Consider the following 22,694-nt stretch of genomic DNA (forward strand, 5'->3'; position numbering starts at 1 on the left):
CTTTTTCCTCCTGACTGTAATGCTCATAAAGCATTTTATGCAGTATCTGACACAAAGTAAGCACACAAAAAATGCTAGGTATTACTATTGATAAACTTGACTAAGTTGAAAAGCACTAGAGCCAAAATTTGGGCACATTTCTGTCTGTCTCCGAAGCCTACGTGCTGACATTGTTGTTCTAACTCTCCTCCTTCCTCTGCTCTGCCAGCTCCCTCTCTTCCTACTCCTCTTTTTCTAATTGTTTAAGTCACTTTGCCACACTTTCTAGTCACTTTGCCACAGTTGACGAACCACTGAAAATCCTCTTATATGGATCTGTGAATTGAAATCTATTGTCTAAATGAGGCCTGTTAATAATATTTCATTAATTTGACCAACATTTAAGTATTTACTTTGGTCTAGATTCAATAATAGGTTCTAGGAAACAGACACAGATGCTGACCTCATGAAACTTAGAGACTACAAATCAAATCAAATATTAAGAAATCTAAAAATGAATAATTTGCAAGGTAACTACAATTACTTATATCAGTGTGTCATTAAAGAGATCTTTTTTTTTTTTTTTTTTTTTTTTTTGAGATGAAGTCTTGCTCTCGTCCCCCAGGCTGGAGAGTGATAGCGCGATCTCAGCTCACTGCAACTTCTGCCTCCTGGATTCAAGCGATTCTCCTGCCGTGGCCCCCCGAGTAGCTGGGATTACAGGCGCCTGCCACCACGCCCGGCTAATTTTTGTATTTTTAGTAGAGAGGAGGTTTCACCATGTTGGCCAGGCTGGTCTAGAACTCTTGACTTCAGGTGCTCCACCTGCCTGGGCCTCCCAAAGTGCTGGGATTACAGGCGTGAGCCACTGCACCTGGCCCCATTTTTTTTTTAAGAGGTGCTGTTGTTCATTCTCACATGAATTAGAGAGACTCTGGGCATTGGGAGTTTTGAATCTTGGTGGACAGGCCTCCAAACCTCAGATTTATATGGTTACAGCACAGGGTGATACAGAATTTACTCTAAGCATTGTGGACAAATTAGATTCTGAAAAACTCTTCCTTCCTGGTTCACAGTGACATCTGAAATGAACTAGTGCTGTCTACTGATGGTGACCAAATTTTATGAATTTGCATATCTAACTTGCCATAAATAGTTCAGAATAGTTTATCTTTTTACCTTTGCAGTCACCAGCAGGAGGTGTGTGTGAGAGAGATCAGTCATGTTCTGTATATTTCATACATTGCTAGCAAGCAAGTCTTCCTGAAGCATACTATAGATTAGGTCATTCATTTTGGTGGCTTTAGTTAAGGAAATTTAGCTTGAAAGGCAAAAACTGATTTCAGGACATAGAACGTTTTAATGTGTTTGACCACTTCTACATAGTAGTATGGTTCTTTCTCCAAAACTGGACTCTCTACTAATGGAGCAACCCAAGAATTTGTATCTCTCAATTTATTATAACAGATAAGTGTCAAGGCACAAAGGAATTGAAGGGCTTTTTTCTACCCACCCCTAATCTCCATGGGGCCGAGAGGGTATTGATTTTAAAATACCATTTACAAGAGCAATGGTTGAATCAATATATTAACTCAGGATGAGTCTCAATAACAGATAAAAATGTTTTAATTATTTTTTTCTTTAGGCAGTCACTTAGGCTGCTTTTCTGACATTAGAAGCTTAGAATGTGGTTAACACAGGGCTGCTGGAATGAAGATTCTAAGCAGGAAATTTGTGCTGCATTCAAATGTGAGGAGATGAGGGGCTTCTGAACTGGCAGATCAATTGGCTGCCTCTAGAGACCTACTTTCAATTGACAACATAATCATATCTGGATGATGACCCTTAAGGGAAGGCTGAGGTCCCTTATCTCTGCCTGTAGTGAATTAAGCGTTATTTATATTCAATCACCAAGAAATCAATGCCAAGCTCCTTGTCCAAAGCCCATTAAGGGGGAAGAAGCAAAGAAAAAAATTAAGAAGGGAAAAGAGAAACAACAACAGTAGCCCCACATAACCTCTCTATTGTATTTTTGTCAGAACCTTTACTAAGCAGCCAAAGCCTAGAGTTGGCTATACTCACTGTCTAGGTTTCCACTGGGGCCAGCTGGGCAGCTACTCAAGCCAGAATCTTTAGTTATTCTCATTTTCTCTTTTGCTCACCCCACACCAATCTATCAGCATGTCTTATTATCCTCTAATATATCCCTATTTCCTTTATTATCTCCATGCCTAACCAGTCTCCTCGCTCCCACATGGCACCACTGAAGGCCATTATTTGCCTCATGTGAAAGTGATCTTCTTAGAAGGTAAATAGTGTCACACCACTCCTCTGCTAAGACCCTTCCATGGCTTCCCACTGACATGTTATGAAAATTGCAGATACCAGGAGGAAATACCAAGTAAAATAGGTATTTCACAGACCGAGACATAGCATGACTTGGGCAAAGGATCCTGGTGCTCTTTAAGACTCTCTTTGACTTAATATCATGGATCTTATTCCAACAATAAAATCTAAAATGAATTGAATGCATACTATCTGCGGCCGCTATACCAAGCACTTCATATCTCTTGCTTGATGCTTAGAATAACCCTTTGGAGATGGCATTGTTATCACCATCTTCAATGGAGGGACTTAGAATGAATGACAAAGTCTAGACAAATTATTCAATATTGATGTAACAAGCAGAGCCAAGATTCTAACCCAGGATTTCTAACTCCAGTTCTCAATATTTTAACACACTAATAAATATATTTGCCTTAAGTAAATAGCTTTCTTTTAAAAATTGTTTTATTTTTACTGAGGCAGAGATGTATGGTAGCAACACTCTAACTCACTAGCATAATACTTTATATAATTTCATTGGATCGCTCTCCCCTACAGTAGGAGGAACCCAAGAACTCAGGAGAGGCAAACCTTTAGAAGCAGAACACAAAGAAAGCAGGACAGGCAAGACAGTAGTTGGTGGCATAATTAAAGACCATGCCATCTACTTCAGTATTTGGCCTCAAGTTCATTCTGCTGCTGAAGACCATACCAGTAATAATTGTTCCTACATCTGCAGGACTCAGCTAATATTTGTTTCTAGAATACTGTCAGTATAACATCTCTGCGAGATGGGCAAGATGACTGGCATATATATCCCTTAAATGTATTCATATTTTCAGATTCCAGAATGTTAGGAAGAATCCTGGCTTATATCCTTAGTACGTGCTACATACGGAGTATCTCATTTAATCTCCATAACATTTTTAGATTGGTAATTATTATTCCATGATATGGTGGTGCAAACTGAAGCACAGACAAGTGTTATGTAATTTTAAATCCCAGAGGCTTTATGAATATCCAGTGTATTAATATACCTTGCTGCTTCGTGGCACAACTCGGCAAAATACCCGCGGTACCCCAGTAGCACAAGCAGTGTGAGGCAGTGAAAATAACATAGGTTTTGAAGTCAGACTCTGCTTGTCAATCCTGGTTCCCCCTTTTGCTAGCAGTGAGACCCTGAGCAAAGTGTTAATTTTCCTGAGGTTAATTTCTTGATCTATAAAATGGAGATGATTGGAACCTAAGATCTGTCATAAGAATCAAATGAAATAACATATGTAAAACCATGGTAGACCTAGGGGAGATGATCGAAGAATGTTTCTTCCAGATGGTCCCCATTGTTTGCACTAGTGTTGCAGGTATGAGTGGAACAGGAACTCCCAGGTTCTGGCCCCTCCTACAGATCACACCTTTGCTTTTCTGCAGCTTGCGGATCACATGGGGTCTAGCTGACTATTTCCTAATGCTTTAAATGTCACACTGCTTTTTTTTCTAGGCAGTAATTTACCTTTGACAGTTATGGATTATTATTCTGCTTTGATTCATATCAGGGTTCCCATATAAGGAGAGAGTGGCATATCAATGAGGAGTGCTGCTGTTTTAAATATGGGAAATATTTTCAGTAATTTCCTAATTAGCATGAGTAGATATAAATGCCATTTTGGGGGGCTTTGTGAGGAAAGCACGTTCTAATTCCTGTTATGCATACGTATGGCTAAATTCCCTTTGCAATAGTAATTCATCCAACACATGCTGTCTAATGGGATCCATCCTCTAAGCACATAATAAGGTGCCCAGAGTGATGGCATTAAGCTCAATGAAGTTCAATACTAATACCGATGCTGATGGAGAGGGGCCCAAGGAAGGGTTCAGTCTGAGCCTTTTCTTCTGAAAAATGTTAAAATGATCTTCGATCTTTTCTACTCCATAGGACACTTAGGAGGATTTGAACCTTTAAAAATTGAAACTTAGAGTCAAGTCATAATTTTTTAATTATTATTAACTAGGTTTTATTTTCATCCTTATGTCTGACTGGTTTGGTCCATGAGATCAAAGCCTGTGCTAGCCAGACTGTCTATGATTTGTCACGAGGGAACCAGGTAAGGAAATATGATTAAATAATATGTCTATCTTAACTAGGAAAAAATGCAAAGTGAGTACATGCTTCCCATGGATTAGGTATCATTATTGCCCATATGAAAAGTGTCACACATTTCTATTTTCATCCTAAGGAAAAGTTATTTGGAGTGGCTACTCCGTATATTAGTATTTTTGAAATAGAAGAAGCCTTTTCTTCTAATGCATCCTCTGAACCATTAAGGAAACCCAGGCTAGGAGATGAGAACTGGCTTTCCCAGGGTCATACAACTAACTGCATGTGAGATGGGATTCTCAGTTTTAAGGCTCCCAGGACAGGGCTCAGGCTAGACAGTGACAGAATCCCAGGCCATACTATCCAACCCCCCAGGTCACTAAGGCATAACTAAGATTTGCTAGATAATTTTTACTGAGCTCAAAGCCTAAGTAATTTTAGTCTGGTTACTCTACTTACGAGGAAAAAATCCTCAGTCTTTGGAACCTAACCATGGCTGCTGATCTTGTAATGAGTCACAGCATTCCTGATGAATGCCTCATGAAATTGAGATGATATTGCATGACGGTTAGTTCTTTGTGTCAATATGGCTGGTACTCAGGGCCCAGCTATTTGGTCTGACATTATTCTAGGTGTTTCTGTGAAGGTGTGGTTTTGGGTGAGATTAACATTTAAATCAGTGGACTCTGAGTACAGATTACCCCTCATAATATGAAAGGACCTCATCCAATCAGTTGGAACAAAAACTCACCTCCTTTGAGCAAGCAGGAATTCTGCCAGCTGACTTCCTCTGGACTCAGAGTGAAGCTCTTCCCTGGATCCCCAGCCTGCCTATCTTCCTTGCGATTTTAGACATATCTAGCCCTTCACAAGTACATGAGCCAATTCCTTAAAATCAATCTCTCTGTCTCTCTCTCTCTCTGTACACACACACACACACACACACACACACCCCACAGACTGTTAGTTTTAGTTCTCTGGAGAATCCTGCTCATACAGATTTTAGTACTAACAAGTGCAATGCTGCTATAACAAATACCTAAAAATGCGGAGTGGCTTTGGAACTGAGTGAGGGATATAGGTAGAAAGAGTTTTAAGACATGCTAGATAAAACCTGCATTGCCTTGAAGAGACTGTTGCTAGAAACGTGGACATAAAAGGAGCTTCTGATGACAACTTAGATGGAAATGAGGAACATCATAGTGGACGTGGGAGGACAGGTGATCCTTGTTGTTAAACGGCAAAGGACTTGATTGACTTGTTTTCTAGTGGTTTGTGGAAGGTACAATTTATGAGTGATATAAACTTAGATATTTGTTTGAAAAGATGTCCAAGAAAAGTATTTAAAGTGTGGTCTGGTTTCTCCTTACTGCTTACAAGTAAAATATGAAAGGAGAGAGATAAATGAGGAATTGATAAGCAAAAATCAGAACATGAAGATTTGGAAAATTCTCAGCCTATCTATATTGCAAAAAATTGAGAAAATGTGTACTGGAGAGCATACCAAAGGTGGTGCTGAGCAACCGTTTGCTAAAGAGATTGTGGGTGTAACCCATGGATACAATCAGCCATCTCAGCAGAGGACAGTAGAGATGCACTGTGCCAGCAGAAACACTGCTACCTGGGACTAAAGGTTACAGAGATGGGACAAAATGAAGGAAGACTGGTAGATTTCTTGGATTCTAAAGGATGGGACAATAGAGCTGTCCAGCTGTGAACATGGGTTATCTTTCAAGAAAAGGACAGAATGACCCAGAAGGTGATTTGGAAATCAGCAGGGGTGCCACTGCCAACATGAGCCTGGAGGTCACAAGTTTGGAAGTGGAGACTGTCTCCTTCTGGGCTTTAGCAGTCCGGGTTGCCTCTGAGGGCCTTGGGGACTGGGCTGCTTTCCAGTGTTGCAAGGGTAATGCTTCTAACTCAAGGGGCTGGAAGGCAGGGTTGCCACCTGGTGGCCCTGAGGATACAGCATTAAACCAAGGAGGGTGATCCTTAACATTGAATTGTGTTTTCTCTGCTGTGTTTCAGACTTGTTTTATATGATCATATTCTGCTTTCCTGTTTGGCTCTCATGAAATGAGAATGTCTGTCTTATGCATATCCTACCATTATATTTTGGAAGCAGATAACTTACCTGGTTTCACAGATTGGCGATGGGACAAGGATTTTGCCTTAGGATGAATCACACTTCAGTTCTCAACCACACTTGATTCAGATGATATTTAGAGATTTGACATTTGGAGTTGATGATGGAATGAGTTTGGGTTACTAAGTTGGAGATGAATGGATTTTGCATGTGACAAGAACTTGAGTTTGGGGGCGGGCCGTATAAGGCAGAGTATTATGGGCTGAATTATCTCCCCCCAATTTTTTTTTTTTTTTGAGAGGGAATCTCACTGTGTCACCTAGGCTGGAGTGCAGTGGCGTGATCTCTGCTCACTGCAGCCTCTGCCTTCCAGGTTCAAGCAATTCTCTTGCTTCAGCCTCCCAAGTAGCTGGGACTACAAGTCCGTGCTGCCACATCCCGGCTAATTGTTGTATTTTTGGTAGAGATGGGGTTTCACTATTTTAGCCAGGCTGGTCTTGAACCCCTGACCTCAGGTGATCCACCTGCCTCAGCCTCCCAAAGTGCTAGGATTACAAGTATGAGCCACTGTGCCTGGCCACCCAGAAAGTTCTAACACCCTAACACCCGGCCACCCCCAAATTCATATGTTGAAGTTCTAACACCCAGTGTCTCAGAATGTGATTGTGTTTTCAGACAGGGCATTTAAGAAGGTGATTAAGTTAACATGAGTCCATCAGGGTGGTTTTCCTTAATCTCTCCTTAATCTAATCTTACTGATGTCCTTATACGAATAGAAATTTGGACACAGAAACACTAGGGATGTGCAGACACAGAGGAAAAGCCAAGTGAGGACACGCAGGAAAAATAAATTTGCCAATACCTTGATCTTGGACTTTCAGCCTCCAGAACTGTGAGAAACTAAGTATCTGTTGTTTAAGCCACCCAGTCTGTGGTATCATGTTATGTCAGCCCTAGCAAACTAATACACTTGGCAGTTTTCCAATGATATTATTCTGAAATGTTGACTTATTAAGGAGCCCATTGTATTGGTGCTGTCTACTTCTACAAAACATGTAGCTTTGGTTTATTGCAAACGTTTAAACATTATAGCCTAGGGTATTCCATCTACTTTGAAATAATGAGACATGATCTGAGACAAGCCCATCAAAGATTTATGTTCAGTTATAATAACATTCAACTTTGGTAGATTTTGTGTTATTTATTTTTTGGTCGAAGATGATTTTGTAGATTCTATGCTTAGTAAATATCATCCACTAAAAAGAGAGAGATCACTATTCATATACAAATCTTGATTTTTATTTAAACATAATCCAGAGGAAAGGATACATTATGAAGATATTACGTTTGTTGTAATATTTTGTGAATAAAATTGTTGGTTGTTTTTTGTAACCAGGGATTTCCTTATTTAGCAATTTCCTTTCCTCTCTTTTGGTAATCACCAAAAACAAAAGTACAGAAATGTCTTCTTTTGGTGTATTAACAATTTTGGAGCGGGGCACTATGGCTCATGCCTGTAATCCCAGCACTTTGGGAGGCTGAGGTGGGAGGATTGCTTGAGGCCAGGAATTCGAGACCAGTCTGGGCAACATAGCAAGACCCCATCTCTACAACTTTTTTTAAAATTATCCATCTCTACAAAAATGTTTTTAAAAATTAGCCAGATGTACTGGTGCATGCTTGTAGTCTCAGCTACTTCAGAGGCTGATCACTTGAGCCCAGAAGTTCAAGCCTACAGCGAGCTGTGATTAAGCCACTGCACTCCAGCCTGGGTGACAGAGCAAGACCCTATCTCTTATAAAAAAAAAAATTAAAAAAGAATTTCGGGCCTTCATGGAAGAGAACTTTCAATATAGCTTTTATATATCAAACCTGAAATAAAGACCTGAAGGATCTTTGATGGTAATATATTTAAGCATACTATGTAATGCCTTAGATTGGTCTGTCAGGTACAGTAGACATGGATTAAATGTTTCTGGTGTTTCAGAGGCTTCATCTTAAACATTACTATTTTACAAGCCTCTGGAAGAGCCAGTACTGTCAGAAGCTACTAGAGGGTTTTGAGCTGTTTGTTATTTCATCAAATGGCTTCAGGTTGTCATCTAATTTGACCTATCAGGAATAGTTTTTTAATTTTTATTTTTAATTTTTTACCAAAATTTTCTTTAACTATTTCTGGTCTTTTCTTTTTTTCATTTTCATCCACTCACCTATGGAATTCCTTTTCATCATTCCTAGTTTGCTTTTTTTTTCTTCTTCACTGTGTACTTAAAATAATTGAATTGGTAAAAATTGGCTGCAATGTAAGCATGAATAGTCTTGGGTTATATGCCTATTTTTTACTACCTGAACTTCGCTGCTTTAATATTACTTATTAAGGGTTTACCATTGTTTTTTATTTGCTTGTTTATATTCAGGTAATTGGGGCTGCTGAGTGAATTGTAAAAGTGGAATAGGTATCAAAAAAGGACGTCCTTCCAGGAGGTATCTCTTCATGATCTTTGATGACTTTGTGAACATGAAATAAAAATGCTCTGTTTTAGAGGATGTGTGATTATTTATTTGCCATGTATTTTTTTTAAATAAGCATAACCTGAACTAGGGAGATATTGGCAATTAATGTAATGATTTACATGATAGACTTGGCTTTAAACAATAGGCCAATGGGTGATAAATTAGATTATACCTGGCTTACACAAGAAATGCCATTATTTAAAGAAATTCCAATGCTAGATTACTACATCACCATTTTCTTTCATATTAACTAATTTTTCAAACTGAAATTGTTATATGGCCATTTACATAAGATGAGAGACTCCTGCATTATTATCCTTGGTAGTAACGTAACATACTCAAAAATATACTCCAAGGAGTAGGCAACACTTTAGAGTGTGTGTGTGTGTGTAGGGATCCACGACTGGAAATACTTGTTACTGGTTTGCAGCATCTAGGAGTAGTGCTCTTTACAGATTGACAAAGTGGTACTTTGTTATACATGTATCCTTTGTTTTGATTAATTTTCCTCCTAGTATGCCATGTCCTGCATCTTGTATTTTAAACTGCATTTTCTTATTTATTCTACTCTTAGACCTTTAGTTTCCAGAAACTGACCAGCTATCAAACACATATATTAAATATTATGCAATTAGCTTATGTGAGAATAGTTATTGAGTCCCTTCTTCCTTAGCTTTTCCTTTTGCCCATTTTCTTCTCATCACCTGTGTAACCACATAAAAGCAAAGAGTATGATTTGACTCGCTTTTGAAAGGTGGCTTTGCATGGAGCAGTTCTCCATAAGTGATAGTCTCAAATGTTTCACTTACTAATTTTATTTACCTTCCATTGTTTTCAGAACATCACTTTTCTTCTTTTTTTTTTTTTCCCTGCCTTTCCTAGGGTCCAAATGTGAGTCTATATTTCAGTGCCATTATTTCCTTAAGCAAAGAATGAGCTCCAAGTTTAGGTCAAATGCAACAGATAGCTATGTTATTACTCTACAGCTAATAATCACTAAGCTCTGAGGGAGAGCTTAGTGATTTATTTCTCTTATCTTTCATCTGTTTTCTTTTTATTTTAACTGTGACATGATGTAAGTCAGAAGAATAATTTTGTCAGTGGGGTATACTGCATCTGTCAGAGCATTTTGAGAAGGAAAATATATAAAGAGGGAAATATAAAGTTGCTACTTGCATTTTCATCCTTAATGAGGAAAAGCTAAAGTTGGCCATCAGTGATTGAGAACTTGGGTTCTCCAAAGCTGTTGTATGTATGACAAATGTGTAAGGGCAAGAAGGATTTTTCCTCTTCCTCTGAAAGAGGAAGTCTGCTATTATTAACCGACAGTAGACAGATTAACAGGATAAAAAACATGTAAATTTATTAAAGTAAATATAAGCACAGGAGCCACAAAATATGAGACTCAAAGAAGGGCCAGATGGTTGAGGCTTAAATGGGCTATTCATAGGGAGAAGGAAATGAAGAATGTAAGCAATTGTGAGGGGTAGTAAATGATTTTCGGGAGAAATAAATGGGCCCAAGGAGAAGATACTAGTCTGTAAATTGTTCTCTTAGAAAACTGGCCACAATGGGCAAGTCATGGGAAGGTGAGGGGCAGAACTGCACTGCAAACAAAGATTGTCTTATTATGCAAGCAAGGTCTCCTAGGTAATCTTTCAGAGCTGCTCAAAAGAATAGATAAAAAGTCTGGGTGTGGTGAAGGCTTTGTCTCTTCTCTGTTTAATCTTGGTTATCCCATGAAATTCCTAGGGTGGGGATCGTAAGACAATTGCATTTCTTTTGGAGGAAGTTTTCCTCAGTTCGACAAGGAAACTTGCAGAGAGAGTGCTTTGGGAGGAGAGAAAATGGTTAAAAAGTCTTTGATTTGAGGCAGCTTCTAAGACCTTCCAGTTTTCTTTAATTTAATAGTTCTCAGCATGCCTAAGCACTTTACTTTGGGGCGGCATTCTCTGTACCCCAACAACAATTTAAATTTGTTCTTATTCATACTTTAATTTCACTAACAATTAAGAGTTGCTTCAGTAAAGTCTGTGACCAAAAAAAAAAAAAAAAAAAAAAACACACCAAAAAACAAAAACAAAAAAATTCAACAGTTTGCCTTCTAGTCAAGCATCTGTTCCTAGTCTTGAAAATAGGAAATGTGTTATCCATCTCACTGTGAGGAAGTATCTGGGTTGTGTGTGTTATGAAATGTTGTGTCAAAGTGGGTCTGGAAGCCAGTTGCTTTAAAACTTGATAGCATTTTCTTATGTTGTTGGTCATGTCTTTGTAATTGATAAATTTGCCTTTCTAGCTGGCAGTTAATTTAAAGATGGCTTTAGGTTGTTTCTACCTCAAAGCAAAACAAAAAAGCAAGCAAAAAAATCCATGCTCCCAAATGGAATTAATGAAAAAGAGTTGTTGGTGTTACAAATATGAAATAATAATATTGAATATTGAATATTTGGGACTTTTCAAATTAAACAGAATATTATTGTGTTTTTCTATATGAAGTTTGTTTTGTAGAATGCTTTAAAAATGGGTTTCAATGGAGACTTTCTTTTCTTTCTTTAATACTCTATTCTCCGTATTTCCATGAATAAGACCTTGCATTTCTAGGTTATACTAGAATATACCATGGGCAAAGTTACTAAAATTGATAGGTAAATTTTTTTAAGCAAAGGAAACATATATGAAAACAGTCCAAAGTTAATTTGATTTTTAGTTATTTTGTTTTAAAATAACCAATATTTGGATACACCGGGAGAGGACTTAAGCAACTTTCCACCAGTAGATAGTTCTATTTAATACAGTAGATCCCAACTGAAAAGTCAAGCTCTCAAAGTGATCTTTCTTATCCTCTCTTTTTTGTCTATTCTGAATTTTTATTGTTGCACTTCAGCTGTCTCTTTCTCTCTTAAACTCTAAAGAAATATACAAACTACCTTTTCTGTGAAATTATTAGCACTTAGTATTATAAAGTTAAAATGATGCTATTTCTGATAATAAAGTATCTGATTAAGTATTTGGTGTCTCTTCAGAAATGCTCCTTAGACTTTAATCCAAAATGTTTCTAAATAACATGAAATAAGTTATTAAACACACTGTTCTCTAATAATATTTTACATTATAATGAAATTTTATTTACATATTAGGATTATTTCCCTTGATAATAGAGGTACGATATAATAGCTTGTTCCTAGAACTTCTAGAAACTTTACTTCTGCTACAATATTTTTTGTTACTCCTCGAAAAATCCTATAAGAATGCCAAGTAGTATTATATTCATTTTACAGATAGAAAATCAATAATCTCTAGAAAGAATTGATTTCCTAAGAATTACAAATAGTGACCATGATGAAAAGCAGCACTCCCCATTCAACTACTTGCTATTCAAATCATTCGTATACCCTGGCAGGATTCTAATTCTGAAAGCTGTGCCTTGCATAAGTTGAGTCAGTGTTTGGAATATTTATTCAGACACAATTGTCCAGAATAATTCTGACAGTCGCCATCTATAACATGAAAATATATTCGTTATATTTTTTGTGTGTGATTTTAGTTCTTTATCTTTCCAATAGTATTTTAATTCTATCGTGTGAAAAAGGACTTTTATTTGCTCCGCTTTAATTATACTTTTGTTTTTTTAACTATTTCATTATAAGAGTCTCTAAAGGAGACCCTTTAGAACATGACTCTGGCATTTATTCTAGCCTATATTTTAGATTTTCTTCTCCACAGGGTGGCCTCTAAGGCCTTTGGATTTTGGGTAAAGGAATGGTACTCAGGGGATAGAAAAATTCCCTCCCAGGGGACCGATCCAGTGAGGGTCAGGATTCTGGCCCAGGGAAAGAAAAGTAGTGACTGAGTTGAGACTGGGAGCTTGACAGCCACAGTGTTTGCCAAGCAATGGTTGGAAGTGTATTTTTAATCACGGGGCAAAGAGAGAGACCGAGGACTCCGTACTTGCCATGGATGCTGTCATACTTCAGAACAGCAGCACAGGAATGAGATAAGGAAAGTATGTCAAAATATCTTTTTTCTAGCAAAATTTTGGAGTGTAAGCATTTGTATTTGGTGGGAAGAGGTCTTTTTATACCACATAGGAAGAGAGCCTTGATTTAGAGCAGGGTGTCCAATCTTTTAGCTTCCCTGGGCCACATTGGAAGAAGAAGGATTGTCTTGGGCCACACATAAAATACACTAGTGAAAGCTGATGAACAACAACAACAACAAAAAAAAAAAAAAAAAAAAAAAGCAAAAAAATCTCATAATGTGTTAAGAAAGTTTACAAATTTGTGTTGGGCCCCATTCAAAGCTGTCCTGCAGGTTGTGGGTTGTACAAGCTTGATGTAGAGATCAGCCTTAAAGCTAATTTCTGCCTGACTTATAGGAAGGTGAAGGTTTACCATATTTCCATTCTGGTGCCCCTGTCTGTGCCTCTCAGAGACTAGTTCTCAGTTTACCTGGGTTCAACAAGGATAAAGACAGTAGAAATCTAATTTCACAAGTGTGTGCAAAAATTTCATTGAAATACTAAGTAATAGCAGTAAAAACCCTATTTTTTGATCCTCCTATGAAAGAAGAGATTTCTTATTAATAAAAGGTGTTAATATCTAACCACTACTAATAGAAGTTATCCTTTCAACAATTATTTAAGGTCAAGTACCAGTGTAAGTTCTAAAGATACAATGCTGAAAAAAGGGGCCAAAAGATATGTATTCCCTTCTTTCAGGCAACTTTACGTGGTGGCAAAAGGGGAAGATATTAATCCACCTCATCATAGTGGGGAATGTTTAATTGCAAACTGGAATTCGGTTTTAGAACAATAATTGTGGTTCTTTGAGAACAATAACCAATAGGGCTGACTTAGACTGAGGGTTCAGTCTAAACTGCTTTGGATAGTTTTCCCCAAGGTAATCCTTCAGGTGCAATCTAAAGGAGGAGTAGAAACAGAGCAGGTGAGGTTGGGGTAGAAGAGGTTGCACACAGAGATAGGTAAGTATCTGTGAGTAGGGGATGGAGGAAGACTGGAAAGAGAGGAGCTAGAGTCATGCTGAATTGCTGAGGTCAATTTAAGGAATGTGGTCTTCATCTAAGGACTTTTGGAAGCCAGTAAAGGGTTTGTAAGCAGAAAAGATCTTTCTGGCTGTAGTATAGAGAACAGTTTGTTGTGGGTGTCATAACTGATGGGACAGACCGTTGGAAAAGCTATCACAGTGGCCAGGGAAAAGAGAATGCTAATTTACATTAAAGTGGAGCAAGATGGAAAGAGATAAATAACTCAGAAAATAGTTTGCTAGGCTAACGGTGGAACTCAGGGATGGGGCAGTAATGGAGGGTTAGGAGAGAAGGAAGGGAGTCACGCGTCACTCCTACTTATGTAATTTTTAAAAACAGTTCTATTAAGATACCACTTACATGCCATAAGATTTCCCACTTTTAAGTGTACAACTCAATAAATTTTAGTATATTTTTAGAACTGTACTGCCATCACCAAAGTCTAATTTTAAAACATTTTCAACACCCTAGAAAGAAATCCTATGCTCATTTGCAGCTACTCCCCATTACCATCCCTAGCCCTACAAAGCAGCTATTCTACAGATTTGCCTTTTCTGGACATTTCATATAAATGGAATCATACATGGTTTTTTTAAACAATCTGGTTTCTTTCATGCAGCATAATGTTTGAGGCACACGTGTAGGGGAGAAAAAAGTCTTTTCCTCACCCATCCTACATTCATGACTGAGGCCCCTATAACAAAGATAGATTAACAAAAGAAAAGCATACATATTTATTTAATATACCTTTTATATGACCCAGAAGCCCTCATAGGGAATGAAGACCCCAATAAATGGTTAAATTTGTGTATTTTTATGCTAGGTTTGATGAAGAAGTAGATAGTCATGGAGAAATAGAATTGGACAAAAGAGGATGATCTAATGGCCATGTACTAGGGAATACTTAGCAAGGTCCATTTGTTCAGGATTTTCTCTGGGTCTCTCCCTGTGTCTTCAGAGATTAGGATGTTCCTTTCTTCTGGGTAAGGGAAGGCACCTCTGGAATGAGGGTCTTATGACCCTCAGAAAGTCAGAAAAGCTTTCCTAGGTTATTAGACCTGCTTCAGGGACAAGACTAGGAGAAAGTGAGGGTGAGAAAGTGAGGGTGACCTCCCTACTGCTGTTTTCTCAAATGCCAGTGCAGCATGTCACGAACCCCATCACATTTATTCTGTGGCCCTCTAGCCAATTTGAAACCTGATGGTTTCTTTATTTGAGGTGTAGCGCCAGAAGAGAAGCAGGGTTGGCAACAGCAAGGGAGAAATGATGCGTTAGATTTTGGACATGTCAAGTGTGAGATGTCTTTTGGACAGCCAATGGAAATATCTAATTTTTACAAATGGTAATGGAAGCATGGAGCATGGATGAAAAAAAAAAAAGACGGGGGAATAATTATGGCCTAGGTCTGTGCCTTGTAGAACTCACAACATTTTAATGGTTGTATAAAGGATAAATTGGAAGGAAACCGAGAAAAGGGTGTCCATTGAGATAAGAGGAAAATCGGCTGGGCATGGTGGCTCACACCTGTAATCCAAGATCTTTGGGAGGCTGAGGCAGGTGGATCACCTGAGGTCAGGAGTTTGAGACCAGCCTGACCAACATGGAGAAACCCCGTCTCTGCTAAAAATACAAAATTAGCCAGATGTAGTGGCACATGCCTGTAATCGCAGCTACTCATGAGGCTGAGGCAGGAGAATCGCCTGAACCCAGGAGGCAGAGGTTGCAGTGGGATGAGATTGCACCATTGCACTCCAGCCTGGGCAACAAGAGCAAAACTCCATCTCAAAACAAAACAAAACAAAAAAAAAAAAAAAAAAAAAAAAAAAGCGGGGGAGAGTCAGGAGCAAAGTGAAGAGAATATTTCAAGGAAAAAGGAACTGTTAAAGGTCATATCTGTCAAATGATACAGACATGTCTACTAAGTCAGGGGCTGAAAGTTTCCATTGGTATTATCATCTTGGATGCCATTTTTGACCTGGGTGGGAGCTGTGTTGCTTGGAGTAGGTTGGTTGGAGCAGATTGGAGTATATTAAAGACTGGGTGACAAACCCAGTGAAAAGATGCAAAACCATCCTTCTGTGAAGAAGAGAGATATGTGCAATGTAAATCTGAATGATGTTTTTAAAAACATGGTAGCAATTTGACCATAGCTGAATGTTGACTAGAAGGATCAATACAGGAAACATGCAAAGTTATATATAGGAAAGAGATGGCAAACATGATGGGTGAGCATTGTGGAGGAGTGGGATCAAAGGCATACTTGGAGGAACAGGAAACTGGATGCTCCTCCAGTGTACTGGGAAGGAAAATGCAGGACTGGGTAGAGATATGGGTAGATTTATGTTGGTTTTAGGAATTATCATTAGCCATATTGATACATTTGGATGGATATGGCTGGAGGTTGGCTGAATTTCGTCATCAGGCATCAGCACAGAGCCATGGTGATTGTGTATAAAGGATCCACAAACCCGGATTTCTTGGCTCAAAACTCATAATCGCTAAAGGAAATGTGTGATTTACACCATAGTTGGCAACATTTTTATTTTTCAGAAATTACCCTGTGTATTTTTATTACTTTTATTCCTAGGATCTTTTTTCCCTATTAGATCCTGTTCCTCAACATTTGCTTCCAAGCATTCAGCAATGCTTTGAAACTTTTCTTGCTTGAAAATGGAACCCAACCAATTCAGTATAAAGCAGAATGTGAATAACACTGCAGTAAGCAACTCTACCATTTGAATCAGCACTTGGCTCCTTCACACCCCTTAACTTTAATCATGACAATTGATCTGCAAATCAAGTTGAGGGAAGAGCTTGGGGATTGGTTCAGATGAATAGCTTCAATAAATGAAATGTTTCTCTAGCTAAGAATAAACACCACACCACAGGGGCAATTATGATCAGGGCAAGATTCAGTTTTATTTTTTACTATCCTCCTGCCAGTTTGCAAGTCCATGCATTAGCAAACATTTTAGACCTAAGAGCTGGTAGGCACCTACATGAAGTCGATAATTACACTTAAGAGAAAACTCAACTTTAGCCATCCTTTGTGGAAGATTGAGTATTAGCCTTGCTATCATTTAGTTCTCCCTCTTGGTTGTTTATTTCTTTGATTCATCATAACTTAACTGACCGAATGACAGAAATTTCCCCACCCAACAAACCACATGTGATTCAGTGACTGTACTGAGTGTACAAAGATCATTTGTTGGGGAAACTTTGTTCTCTGGAGTGAACACTTTTAAACAAATGTGGCAAATATATTTTAATTATGTCTGTGCTGGCATCATTTAGCCAGAGGAAACATTTTTTTGAGGAGCCATTTAATCTCCCTTTGAAAGTTTTGGGTTTAATGTAGAAAAGCTTTATGAGAAGAGTAGCTTAGAGGGAGGAATAGGGCCCAGGACAAGCTCCAGGAGCACTGCAAGCTGTTTATAAGCAGCATGGAACAGACCTGTCTTCATTCTCAAGCAGGGCATTAATAATATGGAACAGTTAATGCCTTCTATTGCTTCTCAGCTATTGCTCATTAGTTGGAGCATTGCATGATATTGAAAAACATCCATGAATCATGCAGACACAAACATTTCATTCTCTCATCCCCTACCCTTACAATGTTTTATTAATGCTTATACTGGAAATGCAAAATATCTGACACTCTAATTGGATTCTGTGCAAGTGAAACTATCAAATTGGGAATAGTAAACATCTTGCACCACTCAAACCCTAAACAGTATTGAACAACAACAAAAACAAATTATCACCCTCACCTTTCATTTTAAATAATTGATTTCATATTTGAATGACATTAAGCCATGTATTCTGATAGTATTAATTAGTTTTCAAGGAAATATGTCTTTGCCTCTTGTCTTAGTCTATTTTCTGAATAAGAAAATAAATTTATTTCTTATAGTTCTGGAGACTGGGAAGTCCAAGAGCATAGTGCTAGCATCTGTTGAGGGCCTTCCTACTGCATCATAACATGGTGGAGGGCATTATATGGCGAGAGGGAGAAAGCCAGAGAGAGCTTGCTTTTATAGTAAAGCCACTCCCATGATAAGGAACCCACTGTCCTGATAGTGACACTAACCCATTCATGAGGGCAGAGAGATGTTTTTAACCCATTAACTTTTGGGGGCTACATTTAACCTGTAATGCCTTTTATTGACTCTATTAGGCTTATAAGATGTTAAGTACTTCTATTAAACCATTCATGTTCCTATTCAACTGTATATTTATGTGACCCAATGAATGAAATATTTTATTCTCTGTGGAAGTAATCCCTGACATCTTTCTTTTCTGAACTTCTCACAACACTGTCTGTAAACCATATTTATGCTACTCGTCACATTATAGTTTAACCCACTGAGGTTTTTGACCTTGCCTACTAGGCTGCGGGTATCTTGGGCTGGTTATTATCCTCATATTTAGCACAGAGCCTTGTATATCACGGCTGCGTGATAAATGATTGGTGATTGATTGAATGCATGTGTATGAACGGATGACTTAAAGCAAAAGATCAGGCTGAATTCACTGGATATTTTCCACATTTAGGGGCAAGGGAGAATGACAAGTATGACATTTTAAAATGTTTTAGTTAAAAATAAGATCCAAAACCTTTCTAATAGGGGTTTGGAAATTGTTAAAATTCAAAGGAAATAGGAGGAAAGTAGCATTTAGAGTACCATGATTCTTGGTACTGCACCTCTGGGTGCTTTCCCATGAGCTCTGTGAGGTCAGGGGACATGTCTGACTTGTTTGCCAGTGGTTAGCACAGCACTTGTTACATAGTAGTTGCTCAATAAATACCTCATGTCTGACTGACCAAAGGCTGTCTGCCCAGAGAGTCAGCCATGAAACTACTCTGGAAACACTGACACGGTTCAGAAAACGTGATTACCAAGGCATTCGAAATAATGCCATCTATCTAGAAAGGCTTAGTGTCAGAAAAAACTTTTCCAGAGAACTTTGTCACTTCCAGGTGCTGCCTGACCAAGGTTGAAAGCAAAGAGTCCCCACCAGTTGGCCTCCCACATGTTTGTGCCCTAGTTGTAGCTTTTGTACTGATGGTGGCTTTCCTTTATGTTTCTATACTTGAAGGCATAAGGCCGGGGAAAGAAAGCTTTCAAATTCAGATCACTATGGGCAGAGCCCCTGAGTGGAGCAGTGGGGCTCTGTGAGGAAGATAGCTATAAGCTCCTCTTGGAGGGAAATGCCTCTCAAGTCACCCACAGTCAAAGCTTAGCTGAAGATGTCTCAGCTTTTGAAATCTCCGTGCAAGGGCAGAAGGCAGATGTTATAAAACAAATAAGTCAGAAAGCCTCCAAAGTTCTGAGTAGTTTGTATCTTTTAAAAAAAGAAGAAACAAAAATTTAAAATCATGACTGTTACCATTCAGAATTGATATAAAGGATTTGCATTCAGTTACCCCACTCTTACCATCATTAGAATGTACTTCATAAATATAAAATTCCCATGAGCCTTACAAAGTTCCTGCTCTGGTAGTTTACCTCTGAGCAAATACTACTTTGTGCTTTATTTGATGTGTTAACAAATAAAACTTTGTGTGTTGAAGAAAGTGATCTGTGTTAATTGATATGTTTTCCCCTAACTTCGGCATTAAACAAATGTGAGAGAGATGATTATTTGTGATAACTTGCCCTCCGCTTAATATTTAAAGTTTGAGTATTTTTAAATTGTACATAAATAAAATATGAATTTATAAGACAAGAGACTACAAAAGGGATGATGCATTGTTTTCAGCTGGCAAGAGAGACTGCTACTACCAGTGTTTTACGAGCATATTAATCCTCATTGGTACATATAATGTGTTGGTCTCCCATAGCCAATTATAAACATGTTTTATGGGAAGTTATCCCTCAATTTCTGCAGAGTCTCACTAAGGTAAGCATATCATGGCAGAGCCTACCGAAAGCACTCAGAGGGCTGGATAAACAGTCCAATGGTGGGTGAACTTAGAGATGAGGGATGCCTATAACGTTTATCCTTCTTATAAGCCAAAGCTCTTTTCCTGTAAAGAGTAGGTGCTATTCAGATCTAAGCAGAGTTGTCACACATGCGTGTGGCAGGATCAAATTTCAGGACTGCCATTACCATCCTGGTTATCCCAGATGACCATGGGAGCTCCCTGGACTTCAGTCCTGCCAATTCTTCCTAACTAAAATTATTTCAAATAAAATATCTCAAATGGATTTGAGTTCTTTCTAAGGCTGTGTACTAAGGATTTTGCATGGATTCTCTTCGTTTTTTTGTTTGTTTGTTTTCTTTTTTGAGATGGAATCTTGCTCTGTTGCCCAGGCTAGAGTGCAGTGGTGCGATCTTGGCTCACTGCAACCTCTGCCTCCCAGGTTCAAGCGATTCCCCTGCCTCCGCCTCCTGAGTAGCTGGGACTACAGGTGCACACCACCATGCCCGGCTAATTTTTTTTTTTTTGTATTTTTAGTAGAGACGGGGTTTCACCATGTTGGCCAGGATGGTCTCAATCTCCTGACCTCGTGATCTGCCCACCTCAGCCTCTTAAAGTGCTGGGATTACAGGCGTGAGCCACCGCGCCCAGCCTATATGGACTCTCTTATTTCATCCTCACAGAAAGGATGATCCTGTTATTTTCATTTTTCTTAATAGGCAAGGAAACTATGCTCAAGCTCCTTGCTACTCAAAGTGTGGTCCATAGACCAGGAGCATGAATATCACTTTGGAATTTGTTAAAAATACAAAATCAGTTGTAGAAGTACAAATCAGTTATCCCCAGAACAACGGATTCAAAACCTGAATTTTTACAAGATACCTGGGTGACTTGTAGCCTTGCCTAAATTCTCTCAGCTAAGAACATGGCAGAGCAGGGACTCAAAGTGTGTGGCTGGCACTAGAAATCTGACTTGGGACAGTGATCTCCCAGAGATCACATAGTCGGTGTATTAGTCCGTTTTCATGCCGCTGATAAAGAGATACCTGAGACTGAGTAATTTATAAAGAAAAAGAGGTTTAATGGATTCACAGTTCCACGTAGCTGGGGAGGCCTCACAATCATGGTGGCAGGCAAGAGAGAATGAGAGCCGCGTCAAAGGGAAAACCCCCTATAAAGCCATCAGATCTCCTGAGACTTACTCACTAGCATGAGAGCAGTATGGGGGAAACCACCCCCATGATTCAATTATCTCCCACCAGGTCCCTCCCACAGCATGTGGGAATTATGGGAGTTACAATTCAAGATGAGATTTGGGTGGGGACACAGCCAAACCATATCAGTTGGCAAGTGTCAGGGAAAGGATATGACCCTGTGCTCAGGACTGTGAATATTTCACTCTGTTTTATTCACATTCTCTCAAGAAGGAAGGAATGGAGGGTAATTAGTAGTGTAAGTTTTTGTTAATTAAAATGGTTAAACACTATGCTGGTGGCTTCCTTAATAGAAAGGGAGTTAGAATTTTAATTCCCACTCCTGGTGTTGCTCCCTCTGAATCATCGTCATTGAAGAGTGTGTATTAAAAGAGCCTCCCTGTGTCTGGTGCTGTCTTAACATCTAAAGAAAGAGAATGGGACAGTCAAAAAGAACATTAATTATAGTTACCTGCTCAACATGCTAGCTGAGTGCCCGGCACAGTGCTTATTAGCATTTAAAATATACGACTTAAACTTCCAGAAACAATCCTATAAAGCAGAAAGTATTATCACTCACGCTTTTAACCCTTGAAATGGTTGCCAGGTTTGGCTGACCTTAATTAACTATAGGCCTGGAAGGGTGGGTGAGAGGTAAAAAGATTATGAAGATGTGAGGTATTCTATGCAGGAGAAAGTATGAGGACAATGCTTAGAAGGACAGAGTGCCACATACTCACGGGGGTTTGATGAGAGTGAAGCAAAAACCATTGATGACTTCTCACTTAATTATGGCACCAGCTGGATACCTGGGTAAATCCTGGATCAGCCCTGACCTGCCGTGTGACCTTAGGCAAGCTGTTTGGGCTCTCTGTTTTGATCTTTGTAATTTGAAAAAATGACAGCCTCATAGCTATGTGAGGCTAATTAAAAGAGTTAATATCTCTGAGTGCTTAGACATTGCCTCTCATGGGTGCTATGCAGTTGTTAGCTCTTAGTTTTCAATCCTCTTTGGGAATACCCAGAAGTATTAGATACAGCCTTCTTAAAACCTTCAAGCTAATAACTTGCTTGTGAATGGTGGAGAGGTCCTGAGGTGTAATGTGAGGAATGCATTGTAAAAGAGCAAAGGAAGAGAAGATAAGGAAGGCCGAGGTTTTACCACCAGGCTTAATCACCTTATTGGAGGTGCTTAGACTCCATTCAAAGCCTCTAGTTTGTTGGCTCCTTTGTTCTTTCTGGCAACTCTAATAGAGTCCCAGATTTTTGTATGCATCAGCATTATCTGGGGAACAGTGTAGAGTGCATCTTCCTGAGCCTTTTTCTAAAATGTTTGATGTGTGTAGTCTGGTGTAGAACTCAGGCATCTGAATTCTGCTGAGTTCCGCATCTGTTCATGGTGGTTCTAGATGACTCCTCTTCTCTCATGGTGAAACAGAATCCACCCTCCCCTCTTACCATATGGCTCCCTGTGTCCACGTTCAAGTTTCCTCTGCAGATGAAGAGACAACTATGCCAAACACTCATGTGTAG

At 38.9% G+C, this 22,694-nt stretch overlaps 1 protein-coding gene across 17 annotated transcripts in view, besides 1 other annotated feature; it reads left to right on the forward strand.

Annotated features, from left to right (window-relative positions):
- The window catches only part of UNC5D (unc-5 netrin receptor D), a 561,066-nt gene that overhangs the window by 246,769 nt on the left and 291,603 nt on the right, over positions 1-22,694 (forward strand). The gene's annotated exons all lie outside the window — the stretch shown is intronic.
- Positions 4,378-5,577: an enhancer, noted in NCBI's record as "P300/CBP strongly-dependent group 1 enhancer chr8:35344139-35345338 (GRCh37/hg19 assembly coordinates)". NCBI's record gives its function as "activates an origin of replication core promoter dependent on BRD2, BRD4, P300/CBP, MED14 and CDK7 cofactors, with strong dependence on P300/CBP, by STARR-seq in HCT116 cells {active_cell/tissue: HCT116}" and the evidence as "EXISTENCE:reporter gene assay evidence [ECO:0000049][PMID:35650434]".

The sequence above is a fragment of the Homo sapiens genome, chromosome 8, assembly GCF_000001405.40.
Source record: "Homo sapiens chromosome 8, GRCh38.p14 Primary Assembly".
Taxonomy (NCBI): domain Eukaryota; kingdom Metazoa; phylum Chordata; class Mammalia; order Primates; family Hominidae; genus Homo; species Homo sapiens.